This window comes from Homo sapiens, chromosome 12 (genome assembly GCF_000001405.40).
Source record: "Homo sapiens chromosome 12, GRCh38.p14 Primary Assembly".
NCBI classification, from domain to species: domain Eukaryota; kingdom Metazoa; phylum Chordata; class Mammalia; order Primates; family Hominidae; genus Homo; species Homo sapiens.
In genome coordinates, this window is record NC_000012.12 from 783,151 (window position 1) to 806,995 (window position 23,845).

General features: G+C 37.4%; 1 protein-coding gene across 50 annotated transcripts in view, besides 1 other annotated feature; it reads left to right on the forward strand.

Annotated features, from left to right (window-relative positions):
• The window catches only part of WNK1 (WNK lysine deficient protein kinase 1), a 158,874-nt gene that overhangs the window by 30,572 nt on the left and 104,457 nt on the right, over positions 1-23,845 (forward strand). The window lies entirely within an intron of this gene.
• Positions 18,458-18,507: an enhancer, noted in NCBI's record as "active region_5791". NCBI's record gives its function as "activates an Ori minimal core promoter by ATAC-STARR-seq in GM12878 lymphoblastoid cells {active_cell/tissue: GM12878}" and the evidence as "EXISTENCE:reporter gene assay evidence [ECO:0000049][PMID:35858748]".

Genomic DNA, 23,845 nt, shown 5'->3' on the forward strand with positions numbered 1-23,845 from the left:
GTGAACCTCCTGCCTCAGCCTCCCAAAGTGCTGAGATTATAAGTGTGAGCCACCATCCTGGCCTAAATATCTTTCAGCATATAATCAGTATAAAAATTATAAAGATAGTATATATTCTTTTCTATTACATCTTCAAAATCTGCTGTGTGTTTTACACTTAACATATCTCGGTTCACACCAGCAACATTTCAGTGAAGTACTCAATAACCATACTTGGGGCTGGGCGTGGTGACACATACATGCCTGAATCCCAGCACTTTGGGAGGCTGAGGTGGGAGGATTGCTTGAGCCCAGGAGTTTGAGACCAGGCTAGGCAACAAACCAAGATGCTGTCTCCACCAAAAAAAAAACAAAACAAAAATTATCCAGGCACAGTGGCATGTGCCTGTAGTCCCAGCTACCTCGGAGGCTGAGGTGGGAGGATTGCTTGAGCCCAGGAGTTTGAGACCAGGCTAGGCAACAAACCAAGATGCTGTCTCCACCAAAAAAAAAAAAAAATTATCCAGGCACAGCGGCATGTGCCTGTAGTCCCAGCTACCTGGGAGGCTGAGGTGGGAGGATTGCTTGAGCCCAGGAGTTTGAGACCAGGCTAGGCAACAAACCAAGATGCTGTCTCCACCAAAAAAAAAAAAAAAATTATCCAGGCACAGCGGCATGTGCCTGTAGTCCCAGCTACCTGGGAGGCTGAGGTGGGAGGATTGCTTGAGCCCAGGAGTTTGAGACCAGGCTAGGCAACAAACCAAGATGCTGTCTCCACCAAAAAAAAAAAAAAAAAAAAAAAAAAATTATCCAGGCACAGCGGCATGTGCCTGTAGTCCCAGCTACTGGGGAGGCTGAGGTGGGAGGATTGCTTGAGCCCAGGAGTTTGAGACCAGGCTAGGCAACAAACCAAGATGCTGTCTCCACCAAAAAAAAAAAAAAGTATCCAGGCACAGTGGCATGTGCCTGTAGTCCCAGCTACCTGGGAGGCTGAGGTGGGAGGATTGCTTGAGCCCAGGAGTTTTGAGACCACAGTGAGCCATGATTGTGCCCCTGTGCTCCAACCTGGGTATCAGAGCAAGACTCCCATCTCTAAAGAAATTGTATTTTATTTATTTTATTTTTACAACCCAGATGTGTGAATCTTGAAGGAATTTTTTTTTAATTGGCTAATGGCTACTATTACTGGACAGCTCAATTTCTGAATGCCAAGTACCTCTTGTTAAACTGTTCAACAGCCTTTCCCTACCATCTCAAGAAGTTGGTGATAAAAATTATCAATAATGAATTACAGTTTTTTAATTTTTGCCTTTGATGTGATTGTCTTATTTTATAATATGTTAGCATTTAATATGAATATTTTTGTTGACATTTATTTTTTATTTTTAAAAATAGCATTATTGAAGTATAGTTGACATAATAAAATGTACATATTTAAAAGGTACAAATTTAATAAGTTGTCCACATCCATGAAACCATCACCACAGTCAAGATATTTATTACTATTTTCCTGAAGTCTTCCCTCCTAGCTGTGCAAATCTCCTGTCACTACATTAAAACTTTTAGATATTCTTCTTTTTTGGAGATAACCTCTCTTAAACTTCTAAACTTCACCATTTGTACTGGTTGCATTCTAGGTTGATGCTTAGGTTGGGGATCTTCATTCATTCTCATTTTGGAGATTCTTCTTATATCTAGCTGGTTTTTGATCCTGCTTCCAGAATCCCATTTCTTTCTCTTTCTTGGTCTCCTCATTTGTGAAAGAATAACTTCATAACTCTTTGAGAAAGGTCATTTGGGAGATAAATGTATTTTTGAGAACTTACATGTCTGAAAATATTTTCCTTCATCTTCCTTTCCCTTTCCTCTTTAATAGGTAGTTCGGATAACAAATTCTAGATTGGAAATAATTTATTTCAGAATTTTAAAGACATTTATTCTATTTTCTTCTAGCTTCCAGTATTGCTGTTAAAGTCTGAGGCTAGTAGGATTCTCTGTTCCCTGTAACCTATTGTTTTTTTCCTCTGGAAGTTTTCAGGTTTTTTGTCTTGTCCTCAGCGTTTTGAAATTTCAGCAATGTGCCTTGGTATGGGTCTCTTTTTTCCATTGTGGCTTTTTGTCTGGAAACTCACTGGCCATCAATTCTGAAAATTTACCTTCTACTCATTTCATTTCTTGCCCTCTGTTTTTTATGTTGCCCCTTCCAGAACTCCTGTTACATATATGTTGGTTCTCCTAGACCAATGGTCTAACGTCCATATCATTTTCTCCCCCCCCCCCACCCCCTCGAAGTGGAGTCTTGCTCTGTCACCCAGAGCTGGAGTGCAATGGTGTGATCTTGGCTCACTGCAGCCTCCACCTCCCAGGTTCAAGCAGTTCTGCCTCAGCCTCCCGAGTAGCTGGGATTACAGGCACCCGCCACCACGCCCAGCTAATTTTTTGTATTTTTAGTAGAGACGGGGTTTCACCGTGTTCGCCAGGGTGATCTGGATCTCCTGACCTCGTGATCCACCCGCCTCAGCCTCCCAAAGTGCTGGGATTACAAGCGTGAGCCACCACATGACCCTGCCTTTTCCAGGTTCCTTTTTTTGGTTGTTGTTATTTGTTACTGATTTTAGTTGCTCTTTAATTTTATTTATTTATTTTTTTGCTTCCCATGTAGATTGGATGCTCTTTAAAGACTTTTTTCAAGTAATCCCATGAGCCTTGGTTGTCGCATTTGAGTTGGGCACTGAAAACTGATAAATAAATGCGGTTTGCTGATTGTGGGCCCCAGTATAATCTGACTGTACTGTTCTGGCATCTTATGAAATGCAGATGTTGGGATCTTTAGAGCTGTTCATTTATGCTACTCAGATCCCTAGTTTTATATGCCAAAGTATAACTTATGCTTTATGTGATTTCCACTTTAGAGATTTTATTAAAACTTTTTATTTATAGTCTAATGTATGCTGTTGTAAAAATTGAAGTTCTATGTTTATTTGAAAATAGTATTTATTAAGGGAAAAAATCTGTATTTGTTAATTGTATTGCTTAAATTCCATGTATTTTTGTTGCCTTAGACTACTTGATTAGCTGATATTTGATAAACGTGTCAGCCCTACAAAATAATTGTGGATTTGTCAATTTCCGTTTGTATTTCTAACAGTTTTTATGTTATATATTCATAGCTTTATATTTAGGCTGGGTTAAGCATGAATGTTATATACGTAAATAATTGTACTTTTTATCAATATAAAATATGCAGCATTTTCTCAAATAATTCTCTTTGCTTAACACATTCCCTTTTTATATTGTCATTCTTTTTTCACATTTGTTTTATTTGTTCCTCTATCTTCCCTTTTTTTTTTTTTTTGAGACAGAATTTCACTCTTGTTGCCCAGGCTGGAGTGCAGTGGCACAATCTTGGCTCACTGCAACTTCTGCCTCATGGGTTTAAGTGATTCTCCTGCCTCAGTTTCCTGAGTAACTGAGATTATAGGCTCCTGCCACCAGGCCTGGCTAATTTTTGCATTTTAGTAGCGACAGGGTTTCATCATGTTGGTCAGGCTGGTGTCGAACTCCTTACCTCAGGTGATCCACCCACCTTGGCCTCCCAAAGTGCTGGGATTACCAGTGTGAGCCACTGTGCCTGGCCCTTTATCTTCTTTTTTATGTCATTTTAATTTTGATGTGTTTCTTATAAATAAACAGTGTTTAGACTTTTTTTTAAAGCCTGTTCCACAGGTTTTTTGTAATAGAGAACTTTAACGTACATTTATAGTAATAATTGGTATGTTTGGAGTTGGTCTTCTTCCTGCCTTCTATGTGTTTTAATTGGTATGTTTGGAGTTGGTCTTCTTCCTGCCTTCTATGTGTTTTATTTCTGCCTTGCCTTTCTTAGATAGATTTATTTTCTTTGCATTTTACACCTAGTAGTCTATCTTTTATGTAATTTTCATTATTTAAGTGACTTAAATGAAATTATGTATTTTTCATTGTTAATTTTTAAAACACCTACATATTAGACTATAAATCTACTTTATAAAAATAAAATTATTTCTCTACTTTTATAGGTGGTATTGTGGAATGGCAAAGCACAGACTCTAGAACAAGGCAGCTTCTGTTTACACCTTGGCTTGGCTTTGCCACTTTTTTATTGTAATCCTCTTGTGCATCCATTTCTTTTTTGGTTAAAGTAGAGATGGGGTCTCACTGTTGCTGATCTGAAACTCTGGGCTCAAGTGATCCTCCTGCCTCAGCCTCCCAAAGTGCTAGGATTTCAGGCGTGAGCCACCAAGCCCACGTAGGTACCTACTTCACAGAGGTGTTGTTGAGTTTAAATATGTTAATATATGTAAAGCACCAGAACAGGGTCTGGAAGTCAATAAATGTTAGCTATTATTAGGTGTCAGTTATTAACAAAAGCTTGAAACTACATTATTAGCGTAGTTCTTGTGGGTTCCTGTGTTTAATGCTTGCCTGGTTCTTAACCTATATTAGCTTTCTGTGTGTTTAAAAAAAATCTTTATCTTTTGTGTAAGTCGGTTTTCCTTATTCTTACACACTTTAATGTATGTAGGCTGCTCTGTTGTAAAGACCATCTGTCTTCTGCTGGGCTGAGGACCTCTGTGCATTTCCACTCTTTGACCATCTCAGGACAGGCACAACAAAAAAATGTTAAAAACTTAGATGTTGTCATGGATATGTGGATGCTTTACATTGTGTGTGTGTGCGTGTGTGTGTAATTTTAGTGTGAAAAATGGTATCAGGTTTCTCCAAGGCAACAAAACCATTAGGAGATTTTGTATATAACAGATAGATATTATATGTAATTTCAAGGAATTAGTTTACTTGGTTGTTGGGGCTGGCAAGTCTGAAATCTGTCTTCTGGTTGAGCTGGCCATTGGGTTGGGAACTCTAGCACAGGAGCTGATGCTGCACCTTTAGCCAGGATTTCTCAGGAAATCCCAGTTTACTGCCTTGTAAGTGATTAGATGAGACCCAACCACATAATTGAGGGTAGTCTCCTTTACATAAAGTCAGCTGATTGTAGGTTTAACCATATCTACAAAAATACCTTTATAGCAACACCTAGTTAGTATTTGATAGAATAATTGAATACTGTGGCAAAATTGTAACATAAAACTAACCATCACAGATGAGTATATTATTTCACAATAGATTGTCCTTCATATCAGCTTCTTGAAATTAAAAAAAAAGCTACTGTGTGTAATACTATATGGAAATTAAACATTGTCCATATTTTTAGTAAAATAATAATTCATAGTTATACTCTGCTAACATGAGATCAACTTATGCACTAATGGACCATATTTCTAAAAGTTTGTGAGTTGTTTGTTGACTTAAGTGAGAAAGGCCTGTAATGCCAGTACCGGAAATGATTGTTCCCAGAATAACCAGCAAAAGCTGATACCCAGACAGTATATCTGAAATATGTTACATATGAAAAATATATTTAAAAATGAAAGTGAGAGGACCGGGTGAGGTGGCTCACGCCTGTAATCCTAGCACTTTGGGAGGCCGAGGCAAGTGGATCACAAAGTCAGGTGTTTGAGACAAGCCTGGCCAAAATGGTGAAACCCCGTCTCTACTAAGAATATAAAAATTAGCCGGGCGTGGTGGCAGTTGCCTGTAATCCCAGCTACCCAGGAGGCTGAGGGAGGAGAATTGCTTGAACCCAGGAGGCGGAGGTTGCAGTGAGCCGAGATCGTGCCACTACACTCCAGTCTGGGTGACAGAGCAAGACTCTGTCTCGGGGGGGAAAAAGAAAGGTAAGTGAGCAAACATCTGTTTGGTGCCAGTAATATTAATAGTTTAGACTTTAACCTTTGCTTATAACAGTTTTTGTGGGAAGGTTTATTAGTTGGTTCTCAAATGTGAAGGCCACATGCTTCCTTCAATTAAGGCATAATAATGAAAGGACATACTGAGGCTACATTACATCTTTGTTGGTGAAATCAGGAGTAGAGGAAAGGGTAGAAACTAGAACAGATACAGATTGGGAAGTGGAGAGGTAAGATTCTTAGCCCATAATTTTCAGAGAAAGTAGTTGTTTGTTGATGGCACCAAACAGGGCTCCTGATTTATGATAAAGAATCATACATTTGGTAAAAGTTACAGTCTGAAGTACAAAACCCCAATGATTTTCCATTCTAGTGCTTCAGTGAGAAGCTTAACAGTGTACTATGTATAGGTAGATAAGAATAAAGTAAAAGACAGAATTCTTTGCTGTTAAAATGAAAGAATAACTTTTACTTAGCATAGTATGGTAGTATACTAATAAATGGTACACACTGCTAGTCATAAAATTTAGATTTTGTCCCCAGTTCTACCTGTATACCTGTATTATTAGTCCTTTGTTCTCTGTTCAGTGTCCTAGTAGAAACTGTGTGGTTATACTCCTTTTTTTTTTTTTTTTTTTTGAGACAGAGTCTCGCTCTGTCACTCAGACTGGAATGCAGTGATTCAATACTCACTGCAGCCTCAAACTCCTGGGCTCAAGCAGTCCTCCCACTGAGTAGCTGAGACTACAGGTGTATGCCACCAAACGCCAGGCTAAGTTTTTTAAAGAACTTCTGAAAGCATAGAGTTTTCAGGATGTTTTTATAATATTTCATAGATGGTAAGGCAGTGTCAGATTGATTCAGTTATGTCATCAAATGTCTCTCTGCCATTCTCAGCATGTATTTCAGGCTAATGCCCCTTATGGCCCTATTTTCAGCCATCACATGCATCCTGGATAGCATTCAGCAGCAGAAGCAGCAATTTCTTTAACAATGCTTCATATCTTACTGGTCAGAGTTGTGGGTCACATGGCTTTGTCTAGATCAAATACTGAAAATGGAACTTCCATGATTGGGTTAGGCCAGTTATGACTGTCTTGACAGGAGATGGGGCTTGCTTTTCCTCTAGTACAAGATAGATACTTAAACCAAATAAAGGATTATGGTTAGCAAGGAGGAGGGGGTTTGGGAATGACCCAGTAGTAGACTGCCAACAGTGCCTGCTACTTAACTCACTCTTGCGAGATGGGGAAGTAAGATAGTCTTGAGGGTTGGGGCTATAGTAGAATAGAAGGAAATGACTTTTTGGAGAAAGTGATTTCTTTTTATCTTTTCATGTTTTTATTTTTTATTACATTTTGTTTTTTACTTAGGGATGGGGTCTTGCTATGTTGACCAAGCTGATCTCAAACTCCTGGCCTCAAGCCATCCTGTCATCTCGGCCTCCCAAAATGGTGGGATTACAGGCATGAGTCACCGTGCCACATCTGGAGAAAGTGGTCTGTAAACTAAGTTTTGTGGACAAATGGAGATTATTAGGGAGAAAGACTTTTCCTTATCCTTCTGAGCCCTTGGTTGTCTATGGGTACTGTTGCTTGTTTTCATTTTTAAGGATAGTAAACATACTTAACATTTCCCAAGGAATCTGTCTTGACCTGTGTATGTGTGTGTAAAAGCTGCATTGTGGACTTTTTGAAAAAGAACATATAATAACCAGTTCAGTTGAATGCAACGTGCTCTGTGAGATTAAGGGCTCACAAGAAACTGCTAATCACAGTTTTAAAAAGACAATCTTTTGATGTCTCATATCTTAGTGTTACTATGAGTTTATAGCCTGTTATTTTGTTTAGTGTTTACTCTGTCTTGCCTTTCTTTTTTCCTTCCTTCCTTTCCTTTTCTTTCTTTTCTTTTGGAAGGGAACTTAAGTACATCTTCTGGTTCTTTCTGCCTGATCTCTTCCTCTTAATTTTAGAAATGAAGATGTAGAAGTCCAAAGAGGATTTACTTGATGATTTGACTAGAAAAGCTAGGTTTAACCAGGTCTTCTATGGAAATGAATTATAGCTGTAGTGAAAAAATAAGGGAAATGTGCTATGTTTGGATTCTAGAGACAGTTCTCTAGAATAGAAAATCTTCTAAACCCAAGACAGCTTGATATTTGAAAAAGGGGGTATAAAACCTTTTTTTAAGGATTGGCAGATCGTAGTAAATATTGTGGATGTCATAGTACCACAATATATAATAATTAAGTAACATACTTAGAATAGAAATCTAGAAATGTCAGTAACAGAATTTTACTATTTCTCTCACCACACACACACACACACACACACACACACACATACACAAAATTATGAACACATAATAAAGGACTTCCTTATAACTAAGAAAAAGATAATACATGAATAGAGAGGCCTATCTGGAAATTTTCATGTATATGCACAACATTTCAGTGATAACAGAGTGGCTGTTATAAATAATGATCGTAAAGTGCGGTTATAAATTATATCATGTATGTGAAAATTATTTTTTGTACAGTATGGTTCTTTATCTAAAACGTAGATCTTTGCTTTTCTATAATAACATTCTCTTCTAGGTTTCAGCTTATACTTGACGCAAGAGGTTCTTTGAGAGAGCTTCTTTTTTAAAAAAAAAAAAACTACATTTCCTATTACATTTTATATCTAGCCTGCCACCCTAAGATGGAAATCCATTTTAGTTCATCAGGTATTTATTAATGGTTTCACTTTGTGAAAGATATTGAAGAGGGCAGATAAAATTGTCATTTACAGCTTACTTAGCATAGTACATTGTGCTTAAAATATATGACATTAATATAAATGATGCCCTTTCTTGATAATTTTTTTTATCTCTAATCTTAAATTGGGGGATGATGTTTCTTTTTAGCCTTTTTATTTTTATACATATGGTTGTCCAAGAGTCATGTATTAACCCAGGTTTAGAACACATCATAATGTCACTGCCTCCACTTCCCAGACTCCAATAGGGAATAGCAGCTTTATTCTACCCAGGTCCTATCAGAGGGTGCACAACAGATGAGGGGAATTGCAGGATTTCCCAGTACACCAAACTGTTGGTCAGCCTTCCTGCCTTTATTCCCCATGTAGACCTAAATACAGAAACTTTTTAATTATCTTGGTTATACCTAAACATTGCTACTCCCCTACGCTAGCCCCGCAAAAGTGAGAGAGCTTGTCAAGGCAAAGTTTTTTGAAGGAAGAAGCCACATGAAATGAGAGAGGGAAATAATGTATACTGTGAGCTTAGGAAGAGCAAAGGTATAAAGGTGATAGAGAGATTGGCACAGAACTACAGTAGTATATGTATTAGTTCTGATTAATAAATGTTTCAATTTTTATGATACTGTTATTCTTTTTTTTTTTTTTTTTTTTTTGAGGCGGAGTCTCACTGTGTCACCCAGGCTGGAGCGCAGTGGTGCAATCTCGGCTCACTGCAGCCTCCGCTTCCCAGCCTCAAGTGATTCTCCCTGCCTCAGCCTCCTGAGTAGCTGGGACTACAGGCACCCGCCACCACGCCCAGCTAATTTTTTTGTACTTTTAGTAGATGTGGGGTTTCACCATGTTGGCCAGCCTGGTCTAGAACTCCTGACCTCGTGATCCGCCCACCTCAGCCTCCCAAAGTGCTGGGATTACAGGTATGAGTCACCACGCCCGGCTGATACTGTTATTCTTGTAACAAAAAAGCTTACAATGAGGAATACATTTATATTGTTTTGCTTAAGATTAAAGCCATATAAAAAATTTACAGCAGAACCTGGAAGTTCTTTCTTGACCCTAACCTCCTTTACTCCTTTGCCCAGAGGCAACCATATATTTGTATGTATTTCCAATTCTTCATGCTTTTACACAAATATGTACTCACATTAAAAAAAATATATATAAACATATTATTCTATGACTTTTTTTTTCTTTAATTCATAGAGTTCTTAATCAGGTCTAGTGAACTCAGGACAAGAGACACAACTTGGATATAAATACCTTTAAGCCTCTGTTTTCTTCATGTGTAAAATGAGGGTAATGTTTTAGTGTTATTACAAGGTTTAAATGAGACTACATGTGGACACCTTAGCCTGGTAACTAAGTCACGGTAGCTGCTATTATTAATAAACAAGGCTAACATGCTTCTATATGATCCTCCTGTACCTAAGAAATAAACTTATAGCAATAGAGCACAATCAGCCAGCCATTTAATTTTAGAGAATAACATCTTCATGTGGCCTAGTAAAAATGACTGTTACCAAATAATAGGCTTTTTATGATGAATGAATGAGTCAGATGTTTTCTCTGTAGTTTTTAGAATCATTGAGATACCAAATTCTTAGCTGTTTTATGGAAGAACTTTATAAAGTAGAGTTTACTGAAGTTGGGTGACTAGAAAAGCCTATAAAGTTAAAAAGGAGAAAACGTGTTGGTTCTCCTAATTAATGTAAATTAAAACAAGGAGACTGCCCACAAGAGCTAAATAGTAAATTTCGGTCAAAAATAATGATAGTATTTCTTTTTTCAATTGGTAGTAAAACATTGGAAATAATTATTCCAAATGAAAAGACAGGTTGATAACAGTTTTCAAAAGGATCAGGATAATAGAGATTCATATTGGGTGACGGTATGGTTTTAGAACTGTCTTCCCTATTCTTCCTAAATGAAGTGGGCCATTTCTTCTCACTATATGTATATTCTTGTCTGGCCCTGAGACAGAACACTGGATTAGAAGCACTATAGGTTGACTAAATATGGCAGTTCTTAAATCTATATGATGATAGTTTGCATTATTTTATTGTTAACTTACCATTTGCATTTTTATAAACAGCTTTATTGAGATAATTCACATACTATACAATTCACTTGGTTAAAATATACAATTCAGTGGTTTTTAAAGTATATTCAGAATTGTGCAACCATCACAGTACTAAGTTTTAGAACATTTTAATCACTTCCTCCAAAAAAAAAGAAAACTCCATTTCCCCTCAACTCTTCCAGTTGTGTGGATAACCACTAACCTACTATGTCTCTAGATTTGCCTATTCTGGACATTTTATATAAGTGGAACCATATAATATGTGATCTCTTGTGACTGGCTTTTTTCACTCAGTGTAATGTTTTTAATGTTCATCCATGTTATAGCATGGATCAGCACTTCATTTTTATGGTTGAGTAATTAATATTTGATTGTATGGAGATACCATTGTGTTTATTCATCAGTTGATTGACATTTGTGTTGTTTCCCGTTTTGGGTTATTATGAATAATGCTGCTATAAACGTTCATTTATAAGGTTTTATATTAACATATACTTGAATTTCTCTTGAGCAGATAGTAAAGAGTGAAATTGCTGGGTTATATGGTAATTCTGTTGAACCTTTTAAGGAACTGCAAACCTGTTTTTCAAGGTGACTACCATTTTACATTCTCTACAGCAGCGAATGAGGGTTCCAATTTCTTTACATCTTCATCTGCGCTAATAAGGTTAAGCATAATGTTAGCTGTGGGGTTTTCCTAGATGCCCTTTATCCAACTGAAGATGTTCCTTTTTCCTAGTTGGTTGAATTTTTTTTTTTTTTTAAATGAAAGGGTGTTGGACTTCGGTGCTTTTTCTGTGTCTATGGAGATAATCGTATGGGCTTTGTACTGTATGGGGTGTACTACACTAATTTTTGGATGCTAAACCTTGGATTCCTGGGATAAATCCCATGTGGCCATGGGAAATAATCCTTTTTAGTTGCTGGATTTGGTTTGTTTGTATTTTGGTGAGGATTTTTGTGTTTGTATTAATAAGGAATATTCTTCTTTTAAAATATTTATGTATTCATTTATTAGAGACAGTCTTGCTCTGTCATCTTGGCTGGAGTGCAGAGGCACAATCATGGCTCACTGTAACCTCAAACTCCTGAGCTCAAGCAGTTCTCCCACCTCTGTCTCCCAAGTAGCTAAGACTATGGGTGCGTATCATCGTGCCTGGCTAATTTTTTTAAAAAATTGTGTAGAGATGTGGTCTTGCTGTGTTGCCCAAGCTGGTCTTGTTCTAACCTCAAGTGATCCTCCTGCCTTGGCCTCCTGAAGAGCTAGGATTACAGTCATGAGCTACCATGCCTGGCCAAGATACTGTCCTTTAGTTTCCTTGTGATGTTTCTATCTGGCATTGGTGTTAGGTTAATACTGGCCTCATAGAATTCCTCTTATATTTTTTGGAAGAATTTGTGAATAATTGATGTCAATTATTTAAGTGTTTTATAGAACTCATCAGTGAAGTGATCTGGGCCTGGGCTTTTCATTGTGGAAAGTTTGTTAAATTACTAATTCAGTCTCCTTTCTTGTTATAGGTCTATTCAGATTTTCCGTTGTTTTTTTTTTTTTTTTCTTGAGTCAGTTTCTGATATGGTTTGGCTCTGTATCCCCCCACCCAAGTCTCACTTTGAAATGTAATAATCTTCATGTGTCAGTGGCGGGGCCAGCTGGAGGTAATTGAATCATGGGGGCCGTTTCCTCCATACTGTTCTCATGATAGTGAATAAGTCTCAGAGATCTGATGGTTTGATAAGGGGAAACTGTTTTGCTTGGTTGGTTCTCATTCTCTGTCTGCCACCATTGATGTAAGACATGACTTGCTCCTCCTTGCCTTCTGCCACGATTCTGAGGCCTCCCCAGCCACATAGAACTGTGAGTACAGTTAAACCCAGTCTTGGATATGTCTTTATCAGCAGCATGAAAACTGACTAATACAGTTTCTATAGTTCGTGTCTTTCTAGGAATTTCTTTCCATTTTATCTAGATCATCTACTCTCTTGCTATACAGTTTCTTGAAGTTTGCCCATTATAATATTGATACTGTTGCTTACTGTTTTCTCTTTGTTCCTTTAAAGAAAAAAATTTTTATGCTTTGGGGGTCATTTAACATTTCTCTTTTTATCCATTGGCTTAACAAGTATCTTCTTTTCTCCTTCTTCTTTTTGAGACAGAGTCACACTCTGTCACCCAGGCCAGAGTGCACTGGTGCAAATCTCAGCTGACTGCAACCTCTGCCTCCCGGGTTCAAGTGACCTTCCCACCGCAGCCTCTTGAGTAGCCCTCCACCATGCCCAGCTAATTTTTGTATGCGTTTGTAGAGACAGGGTTTCACCATGTTGTCCAGGCTGGTCTTGAATTCCTGAGCTCAGGTGATCTGCCCTTCCTGGCCTCCCAAAGTGTTGGGATTACAGACGTGAGCCACCACTCCTGACCATGTATCTTATTTTTAATTTTTTTTAGTGGTTGCTCTTGTGCTTATAATATACATTTTAAATTAATCTGCCTTCAAATAATATTCTACCCTTCAAGATTAGTATAAGGACCTTGTAACAGTATATTCTTAATTCCTTTATTCCATCTGTTGTGCTACTTGTCATGTATTTTTCTGAAGTATAGGAACCAGAGAAATTATAAGGCAGAGGAGTAGGAAACACATACTTTCCTGTATTACGCAATAAGGAGCTTGATAATTGGAAAGGGAAAGGGAAATGAATATATGAGAAATTCAGAAAGAATATAATCAGAATTCTTAATGAAATTTGAAACCTCAGGTGATCCACCCACCTTGGCCTCCCAAAGTGCTGGGATTACAGGCATGAGCCACTGCGCCCAGCTGAAATCTCAAATTGAAGTTGAATGATCAATTTGGGATAACTTAAATTTCTTTGTGGCTATAGACAGATCTATTTCAAGAAGTCTCCCTACCTAACCATTTTTCCTGCCCCTAAAAAACAAAACCAGAAAGTTCTGAGAATCATCCTAGACTTCTCTTCCTCCTTTATATCTTCATTTTCCATTTCTAATCAGCCACCTTGTCATCTTGATTCTCCCTCATCTGTACCAATATATCAACCAAAAATGATCTTCCTAAGTCTAATTACACTTCTCTCTGTTCCACACCAATGCAAGCATGATCAATCTTATGAAGATGCAAATCTGATCACATCTTTTAAAATTTTCGGTGGTGCCCTATTCTCCACAGTATAAATTTTAATCTCCTTATTGTTATGTGAAGTTCTCAAGATTTTAGTGTTTATCCAATCTTCTCTCCTACCATCTCTTCTAAAATTATATAAACAATTCCCAGACTTTATTTTAAGTTACTATACATATGCTGATTTTCATTTCCACACCCACGTTCTTCTTTTTGCATTCCTATTAAATTCATATTCATGAAAATAAATAAATGTTTCTTTAAAGAATCCTCTCAGAAATTAATCTCTTTTTTGTCTCCTTGTTGTACTTATACGCTCTTCTCATAATGATTGTGTCATTCTTACTGTGATTACTGTGTTCTTTAAGGCTGTAGCTATAATTGTTGGATGGATATTGTGTTCAATAAAGATTGGCAGAATTTAGCTAGAGTTTAGTAACATTTTTATGATTACCTTCTATATAAGAGAAACATCAGATTAGTGGTTTTGAATCAGTATTGTAATGTAAAATTTCTTTATACCAATAAATTTAAGTTTTATAAAAAGGTAGATTTTGGGGGAATGTTAGATTTTCAAATGATCGTAATAATACAGCAGCAATCCTAATGATAGTATGCAAATTATCGGCGTTCAGTTGGTGTCAATTTCAACTTTAGGTATTCTACCTATGCCATACTTTTATTTATTATTGCATCAAATGCAGACAGGTTCTACTCTCTACTTTGTAAGATGACCATAATACTCTCACTCTCTTAAAATCACTATCTGGCCAGGCGGCTGTGGCTCACACCTGTAATCCCAGCACTTTCGGAGGCCGAGGCAGGTGGATCACTGGAGGTCAAGAGTTCGAGACGAGCCTGGCCAACACCGTGAAACCCCCATCTTTACTGAAAATACAAAAAAATTAGCCGGGCATGGTGGCGGGCGCCTGTAATCTCAGCTACTCAGGAGGCTGAGACAGGATAATCGCTTGAACCCGGGAAGTGGAGGTTGCAGTGAGCCGAGATCGCACCACTGCACTCCAGCCTGGGTGACAGAGTGAGACTCTGTCTCAAAAAAAAAAAAAAAAAATCACTGTCTAACCTCTATTCTATGTATTTTACATTGTGAAGATGAGTAATATTAATATCTGCCTTCTGTCTTTTAAAAATGTCTAAAAGTGAAAATCAATTGTGTCTGGCTGACATTTCTCTAAGGTAACTAGTTATGGATAGAGCTCCTTTTTATACTTCCTTGTTCTGCTTCCTGGTTTTCCTGTCATTTCAAATTGCCTTGGTTTTTTTCTTATTGCATTTTCTTTTTTTTTTTGTTTTTGAGACGGAGTCTGGCTCTGTCGCCCAGGCTGGAGTGCAGTGGCCCGATCTCGGCTCACTGCAACCTCCGCCTCCCGGGTTCACGCCATTCTCCCACCTCAGCCTCCTGAATAGCTGGGACTACAGGCACCCTCCACCACGCCCGGCTAATTTTTTATATTTTTTAGTAGAGACGGAGTTTCACTGTGTTAGCCAGGATGGTCTCGATCTCCTGACCTCGTGATCTGCCCGCCTCGGCCTCCCAAAGTGCTGGGATGACAGGCGTGAGCCACCAAGCCCAGCCTTACTATTGCATTTTCAAAGTTTTCATTTTCCCATCCAGTATATCGAGTCTTCTGCCTTCCTAGGGAATTCTTCAGACTTTTCTATCCTGCTGATCTGAACTTACTGCTTTCTGAGTATGCTGCACAACTGTCTTTTTTTTCCTTTAATTGTGTTCCTCTTTTTAATAAATTATTTAAAAATCTATGAATACATATTTAAGTGTCTTGCTAGTAAGAAAATATGCATGTATAATAAACTTTGCCTCCACATATGAACATACTTTTCCTTTTTAAAAAAATCTGGTTTTGTTTAGGATTCTGTTTATTTCATTTTCCTCCTTGACACTCGTGGTATTTCTCCCCATCTCCTAGATATTTTTTTGGTTTTGGAAACTTCTCTTAATTTTTACTTTTTCTCTACCATCTATTGTACGGGGATGTTAAATAGACCCTTGTAAATATGTTTTTCTGTTTTGGGAAGTGTTCTAATTCTTGGATAATTTTCACTCCTTCATTTTTCCCTATTCTCTTTTTTGGGGGGGCATATATTTATATGTTGGAATTCTTGTAACAACCTTCCCCCCGTCCCCAACTACTTGCCTGATATTTTAGGTTGACATTATTTTGCAAGCTTTCATTGAATTTCTGTTTTGGTGAGCATGTCTTTTTTGAGACAGAGTCTTGCTCTGTTGCCCAGGCTGGAGTGCAGTGGCGCAATTTCAGCTTACAGCAGCCTCAACCTCCTGGGCTCAAGCAATCCTCCCACCTCACCTCCTGAGTAGCTGAGACCTCAGGCGTGCACCACCATGTCTGTCTAATTTTTGTATTTTTTTTTTTTTTGTAGAGATGGGGTTTTACCCTGTTTCCCAGGCTGCCCATGAACTCCTGAGCTCAAGCAATCTGGCTGCCTTGGCCTCCCAAAGTGCTGGGATTACAGGCATGAGCCACCGCACCCGGCCTGCATGTCTGTCATTTTAAGAGTTTCTTCTGATTTTCTCACCCCTAATCATTTTCTCTTCTTGCTTTATATTACAGTATTTTTATGCCTTCTCTAAAGTAAAAGATTTCTTTTAAAATTATAAAAGTAGATTGGGCAGGGTGGCTTACACCTTGTAATCGCAGCATTTTAGGAGGCTGAAACAGGAGGATAGCTTGAGACCAAGAATTCAGGGCCAACCTGGGCAACATAGTGAGACCCTGACATTACAAAAAGTTTTTATTTATTTATTTTTTGAGACGGAATCTTGCTGTTGCCCAGGCTGGAGTGCAGTGGCACAATCTCGGCTTGTTGCAACCTCTGCCTCCCGGGTTCAAATGATTCTCCTGCTTTAGCCTCCCAAGTAGCTGGGATTACAGGTGCATGCCACCACACGTGCCTACTTTTTGTATTTTTAGTAGAGACGGGGTTTCACCATGTTGGCCAGGCTGTTCTCAAGCTCCTGACCTCAAGTGATCCACCTGCCTCGGCCTCCCAAAGTGCTGGGATTACACCGCGCTTGTCCTACAAAAATTTTTAAAGAAAGTTAATTAGGCACAGTGGTGCGCACCCATAGTCCCAGCTACTTGGGAGGCTGAGACGGTAGGATTGCTTGAGCCTGGGAGGTTAAGGCTGCAATGGTCTAGGACTGGACTACTGCACTCCAGTCTGGGCAACAGAGTAAGACCCTCTGTCAAAAAAAAATTTTTTTTAAACTGAATATTTATTTGGACTGAAAGAAGAAATGACAACAAATTATAAAGTTAAAAGAAGTCATATCAAAAAATCACAAAATCCAGAAAAAAACATTTATTAAGTACCAGACACATCCTACTTTTGCTTTTCCTTCATTTTTTGGCTTCATCTTCTTTGATCACCTTTTTATTTGGCAGTGAGTTTATAATACTTTATATATAGAAAATAAAAAGATCATATAGCTTTCCTCTAGCATTCAGGTTTTTTTGCTATATGGGTGTTAATAATTTTTATTTTAATTGCCTGCTATAATTATTTTTTATTTTGGTAAAATATATAACTTAAAATTTACCATTTTAAAAAGTATATTCTATTTCCTGAATTTTTTGTTTCTCTGAGGCAATTTCCCCTTTTTGATGGGAAGAGTGTTTTATCTTTGTGAGTTCTCAAGTGTGATGATCTGTGGGCCTGCTGATATTTAAGAATGAGGCTTACCATTAGGCAAACTCTGTATTTAGAGTTTGTCTGTATTTAGAGCTCATAGTAAGCCTCATTACTTGTTAATGGTCAGACTTCATTCTCAAGTGAATGGTCAGGGAACCCCCAAAATAACAGATGGTAACTGGTTTTGTTCTGGGATGTTAATTTGCACTCTAATGGCCCTACTAGTTGTTTTGATATCTTTAGAGTAGAACCTTAATTTCCTGCCTACCCAAGGGTAAGCATTGGGTGATCATTTTGCTGTGCGCACAGAAGGTGAGAGGCATTGATTTGTCTGTCCTACAGATTCTTCGTTTTTAAAAATCTCATGTCTCATTTCTGCTTTACTGGATCTCATTGGTTTTTGGAGGAAAGGTATTGGTTCCTTTCTCAGGTACCCTCCAACTATATTTTAGGCTGTTACTTCTTGGGCCAGAATTTCGCCATTTGTATCTGCTGATGGCTCCTCTCTCATCCTCTTTATTGTTTGCATTTAATATTTTATTTCTGTAACTTTCTTGAGTTATGTTAATGGAATCTGGAGGGAAAGTGGGTAACAGTAAAGTAAGCTGTTTATACTGTCATTCTGAATTGTAAGCCCCTGCAGACTTCTTGAATGATATTAATGAATGTTGAGTCACCTTTCAATATGGAGGGACAAGCCTGTTCTTTGGTGTCACGTGTATCGCTCTTTGGTTGTTTGCTTAGCAGCGTTGAAAATTGAGGAGGCAGAGGTGTATGTATGTATTTGGTTCAGGATAGTATCTCACTAGCAACTCCCAATATAACCTTTTTTTCTTTGTGTGTGTGTGTGTGTGTGTGTGTGTGTGTGTGTGTGTGTAGTGGCACGATCACACTCATTGCAGCCTCAACCTCCTGGGCTTAAGGGATCCTCCCACCTCAGCCTACCCAGTAGCTGGGACTACAGCCATGTGCCACCATGCCTGACCATTTTTTTTTTTTTTTAAGAGACAAGGTCTTGCTCTGTTGCCCAGGCTGGTCTTGATCTCCTGGCCTCAAGTGGTCCTCCTGCCTCGGCCTCCCAAAGTGCTGGGATTATAGGTGTCAACCATTGTGCCCAGCAAACCATTCCTATTTTCCCACTAAAATTATCATAAAATCAGGAATGAATGAAAGCTCCAATCATTACTACAAATGAAAATTGACAGATATAAAGACAGAACTCTGGGAGTAAGTGGTACTAATGATGAGGCAGATTGAATCAGAGAAATACTTATACATTTCAATTTGTACAATGTGTATTTACTTTGTTTTTTGAGTGATGACCACCAGGAGGAAAAATCCTTGTCTGTCCCCATTGTTTGTTCAAAAGTCAGACCTGGAGCCCCTGCTAACCAGAAAATTGAGCAGTCATCAACTTCCCCTCACAGTTTTTCTGCATGTAAGAATATTAGTAAAATTAGGGTGATGGGGAAGAGGGCTGTGGAAATGGGAAACTGATAATGTACATGTAGTATAATTGGGCATTATTATCCAAAATATGGTACATATACTTCTAGAAATAGTAGATATTTTAGGTTGTACGTGAATGAACGTTTTAAAGCCCCAAAATTTCTTTTAATAACTAACAGCAATACTAATTAGTTACGAGGATGCTAAAATAGGTAGTAAGTACCTGTTTTATGATGTTAAAAATATCAAGTAAATATTATAGCTGGTTATTAGTTTTGGCATAACATTAATGACAGAAACTTGAGAAACATTTCCTCTAGATAAAAAAGCTTGCTAGAAACTGGCAACAGTACTGCTTTTTACACGTATCACAGTTGTAAATATGAGAAGGGAGTTTGACTTCCACTTGTGTGTCAGACAGCGGGGTCATAAACAGTAGGTTTGGAGGATCTATCCTTGTTCAGTATAGAAGTTCTATTATGATTGATATGGAAATGACTTTGACTTATTGTTGAAGCCCTGATACTAAACAAATCTGATTTCGTTTGAATCTTTTTTTCCCTCTAGAAGTAAAAAAGGACAATTAAAAAAAAAATCCTTTACTTAATTTTCAGTTTCTTCTTTGAATAACAAAGTTTGGAAGTATAGGGGGTTGGAACTGATCTCTTGTCACAGAGTTTAAAGGTTAAGACTGGGGAATTTTATTTGTTTCTAAATGAAAATGTTATGATTTACATAAATGAAACTACAGTGTGAAGATGGACAGTAAATGAGATAGATATTTTTGAAGCAGCAACTGATTTTCTTTTTGTCAGACTCTGCAGCCAGCCTGAGGCCACAAATAAATGTAGTCAGAACTAGTTTCATAAAGTTAGATGGATATGTTCAATAAATAAGAGACATTTTCCATAGTATTCATATTTTGAACATGATGAACAAGATTTAGCCAAAAAATATGTGCATATTCTTATGACTCAGGGACATCACACAAAAAAGAAAAAAGAATAAAATTGAAGAAATTAATGTGTGTATTCTTTTTTCCCTGGATTGATAAGCAGCTTCTAAAAGTATGCTAATTCAAAGGTTAGTTTTATGTATTGTAAACTGTAGTTAGATAAATAATGGTTACTTTGAAAATCCACAGTAAATGCTGCTGATTTGACAAGGAAATGTGTTTAGTTGTACTCTAAGGATGGCCTTCTTTGTTGGGGTACAAAATTAGTTCATTTTTAAAGATCATAAACAAAATAGCAGAATTGAGCAATGTAAGTACAGAAATAACATTTATATAAAAATCAAAGTGCAAAACAGTATAGTATATCATTCATGAATAAGTAATATGTTGTAAAACTATAAAAATATACAATAGCGTGATAAATACCATATTCCAGATAGTGGCTCTGGGGATGTGGAGAGAAGAATAGTGGTATTATTTCATAGAAAATAATCTAAAAGAAATATGGCGGCTGGGCACAGTGGCTCACGCCTGTAATCCCAGCACTTTGGGAGGCTGAGGCGGGTGGATCACCTGAGGTCAGGAGTTCGAGACTAGCCTGGCCAACATAGTGAAACCCTGTCTACTCCCAGCTACTCAGGAGACTGAGGCAGGAGAATCGCTTGAACCCAGGAAGCAGATGTTGCAGTGAGCCGAGATTGTGCCACTGCACTCCAGCCTGTGTGACAGAGTGAGACTCCATCTCAAAAAATAAAAATAATAAAAAAAGAAATATGGCAAAACATTAAGAAGTGACAAATATCAGAGGGACATATATATATTCCACATTTCTGTATGCTTGAAAACATTTATGTAAATTTTTCTAATGTGTACAGTGACTTTTTAAAAGTAATATGCTAAAACCAATCCATTGAGTGAAATGACAATTGGATTAAATTATAACAACAATATTAATGCAGACAACTCTATTTTCTAGTTACACTTATCAAGAGATTAGTATTGAATTATTTACTTGCTTTGCAAATAAGAAAATGTAAAATTTTAAACTTTTCTCTTATTTAAAGACCTAAGATGACCAATAGACACTTTTTCTCATGTACCTCAAGTCCTTACCAAGTATAAGAAGCAGAACAGTATCTGTATCTTCGAAGCTCTCAGTGTACTTCTCCCTAGTAACATCTCCCTGCCTCCCCTGTCCTGAATTTTACATTTCATTTTATTGTCTTAAGTGCCAAGGGCAAGGTTTGTCAAAATCAAGTAATGTTCAGCCTTTTTGGTAGTGAAATATACATAACATAAATTTACCATTGTAACCATTTACAAGTAACTTAGAAGTATACAGTTTTGTGGCATTAAGCACATTTACAATGTTGTGCAATTACTATCATCCATATCTAGAACTTTTTCAGCATCCCAAACTGAAAGTTTTTTTTTTTTTTGGCGCGATCTCAGCTCACTGCAACCTATGCGTCCCAGGTTCAAGCGATTCTCCTGCCTCACCCTCCCGAGTAGCTGAGATTACAGGCTCCCGCTGCCACGCCCAGCTAATTTTTGTATTTTTAGTAGAGGTGGGGTTTCACCATGTTGACCATGCTGGTCTCAAACTCCTTACCTCAGGTGATCCACCTGCCTTGGCCTCCCAAAGTGTTGGGATTACAGGCGTGAGCCACCGTGCCTGGCCCCAAACCGAAACTCTTAGCTCTTAAAAACTGAGTCCCCATTGTCCCCTTTCCCTGGTCCCTGGCAACCTTTTTTCTACTTTCTGTCTCTGTGAATTTGCATATGCTAGATGTACCTCATGTAAGTAGACTCAGACATTATTTATCCTTTTGTGTCTGGCTTATTTTACCTAGCTTAATGTTCTCAAGGTTCATTTGAGTTGTACCATGTGTCAAAATTTGGTACATATTTTTATATTTTATATATATAATTAATATTTTATAAATATTATATATATATAATATAAAATATAATTAATATTTTAATATTAAATAATATTCCTTTATATTTATATATTTTGTTTTCTGTTCATTTGTTGATGGACACTTGGGTCATTGTACCCTTTGACTATTGTAAAAAATGCTGCTGTTAACATTGGTGTTCATGTATCTGTTGGAGTGCCTGCTTTCAGTTTCTTGGGGCATATACTTAGAAGTGAAGTTGCTGAATTGTATGGTAATTCTGTGTTCAACTTTTTGAGGAACTATCGTGCTCTTTTCCACATTGTCTATACCATTTTACAATCACAGCAGTGCACGAGGATTTCACTTTGTCCACATCCTTGCCAACACTTTTTTGCTTCCCTACTGGCCCTTTTTTTGGGGAGGGGCGGGTAATAGCCATCCTGATTGGTGTGAAGTGGTATCTTACTGCTAGACATGTTTTAAAGGAAAAAAGGACAGTTCTTTAATGTGACTTAAATTGTTAAAACATTGTATGTGTAAATGGAAAAAATACATATACACTCCTTGTGACTTAATGATCTTACACAGCTATAACAGCAAAACCAATTTTTAGTGTAAGTGCTAATTAAAACCTACTAAAATTAATGTTTTTGACAGTGCAAACCAAATTGTGGCTGTCTTCCTTTATAAATAACTTAGTCTTATGTGAGAGTATCTATTTCAGTTACAAATTATAACTGCAGAAACTTTAACTGGTAAAAGAATTCAGAGTATATAGTTAGGAAAGTTTGCTGACATTAGGACGTGCCAAACTACCTATAGTCAAAATTAATTAACAAAATTAATGATTAATGTGTCAAACTTATAAATTGTCATTTAGGTTATCATTTGGTTGGTAATATGATTCAAAAAACAAACTGCCTAATGAAATCTTGTGGTCACCTACATGAGCCACAATATACATATATTTATTTTTAATTAATTGTCTAAGTTAGAACCCAAAATTCTTTTTTCTGAAATTTAAAGAAGAAAAAAAAATTCTTTTCGCCACCTCTGATAATATCGATAGTCCAAAATTAAGAAAATGCTAACTTCTCCTGATGACTTCTTCAACAGCCTATTTCAGCCTGTGAAACATATTCAGGAATACATATGGGAGAATAAATCAATGTGAATGGGGTAGCTGCCATAAAAATAATGTTCTTAATTTGTGTAATTATTTTCAGTTTTCAAAGCACACTTACAATATGTCGAGCCCTCAGAATAATTCTTAGCTATTCAGGAAAGATGGTGTTTTCATTTTACAGGCAAGGAAACTAAAACTCATGGCAGTTACTTTAGAAATAGGAGTGCAAAAGAAGAAATAAGCATGGCATGTGAGAATAACAAGAGTCCTTATCTGTAGTGGGTTGTTTTTGGAAAGTATTGAGAAATAAGCTGGATCCAAGGGACTTTGGAATTTGGATTTGATGTAATGGAGCATTTTCCAAACTTGCTGGTCATAAGAAATCCCTTCCTTGGAGACTGGGGCCAGGGTCCTAGAATCCTTTCGTAACAAGTGCCCCTGAAGATTCTTGTACTTCAGCAAAGTTGGTTAATTATGCATTTACTATTTTTGAGCAAGGAGCTTGGTGTCATAAAAATAGTGTCTGGGGGAATATCTTTATCTAAAGGGTAGGTTGAAGGGTAAAGAGAGTCATCAGGCAATGTTTATTTTGATATGACGTAGTTGTGGCTTTTATTAGTTTGTGACCATGGAAATGAGATATGGGGAATCATGGAATTATAGAGATTGCCTGGGAAGACAAAGGGAAATAGGGAATGAGTGATTTGTGGAGAGACTTTATAGGCTTGGACATATATTGAGTCTTTGCTCATAAAATGTCGTAGATATTTGGAAATCTAATTTGAATTCCAGAATTAGTAAAACATTACACTTAAGTCAGACCTTGCCAGGCATAAAGATATTGTATATTTTTATGTACATGCTCAATATCGTATATTCTCAATATAAAACTCAGTTGCAGGTTGCATTTGTTGTAGAAATTCTGCTTTCAGGTTTTGTTTTTCCTGACTCTTCAAATCTTCTCGCTGGGCTTC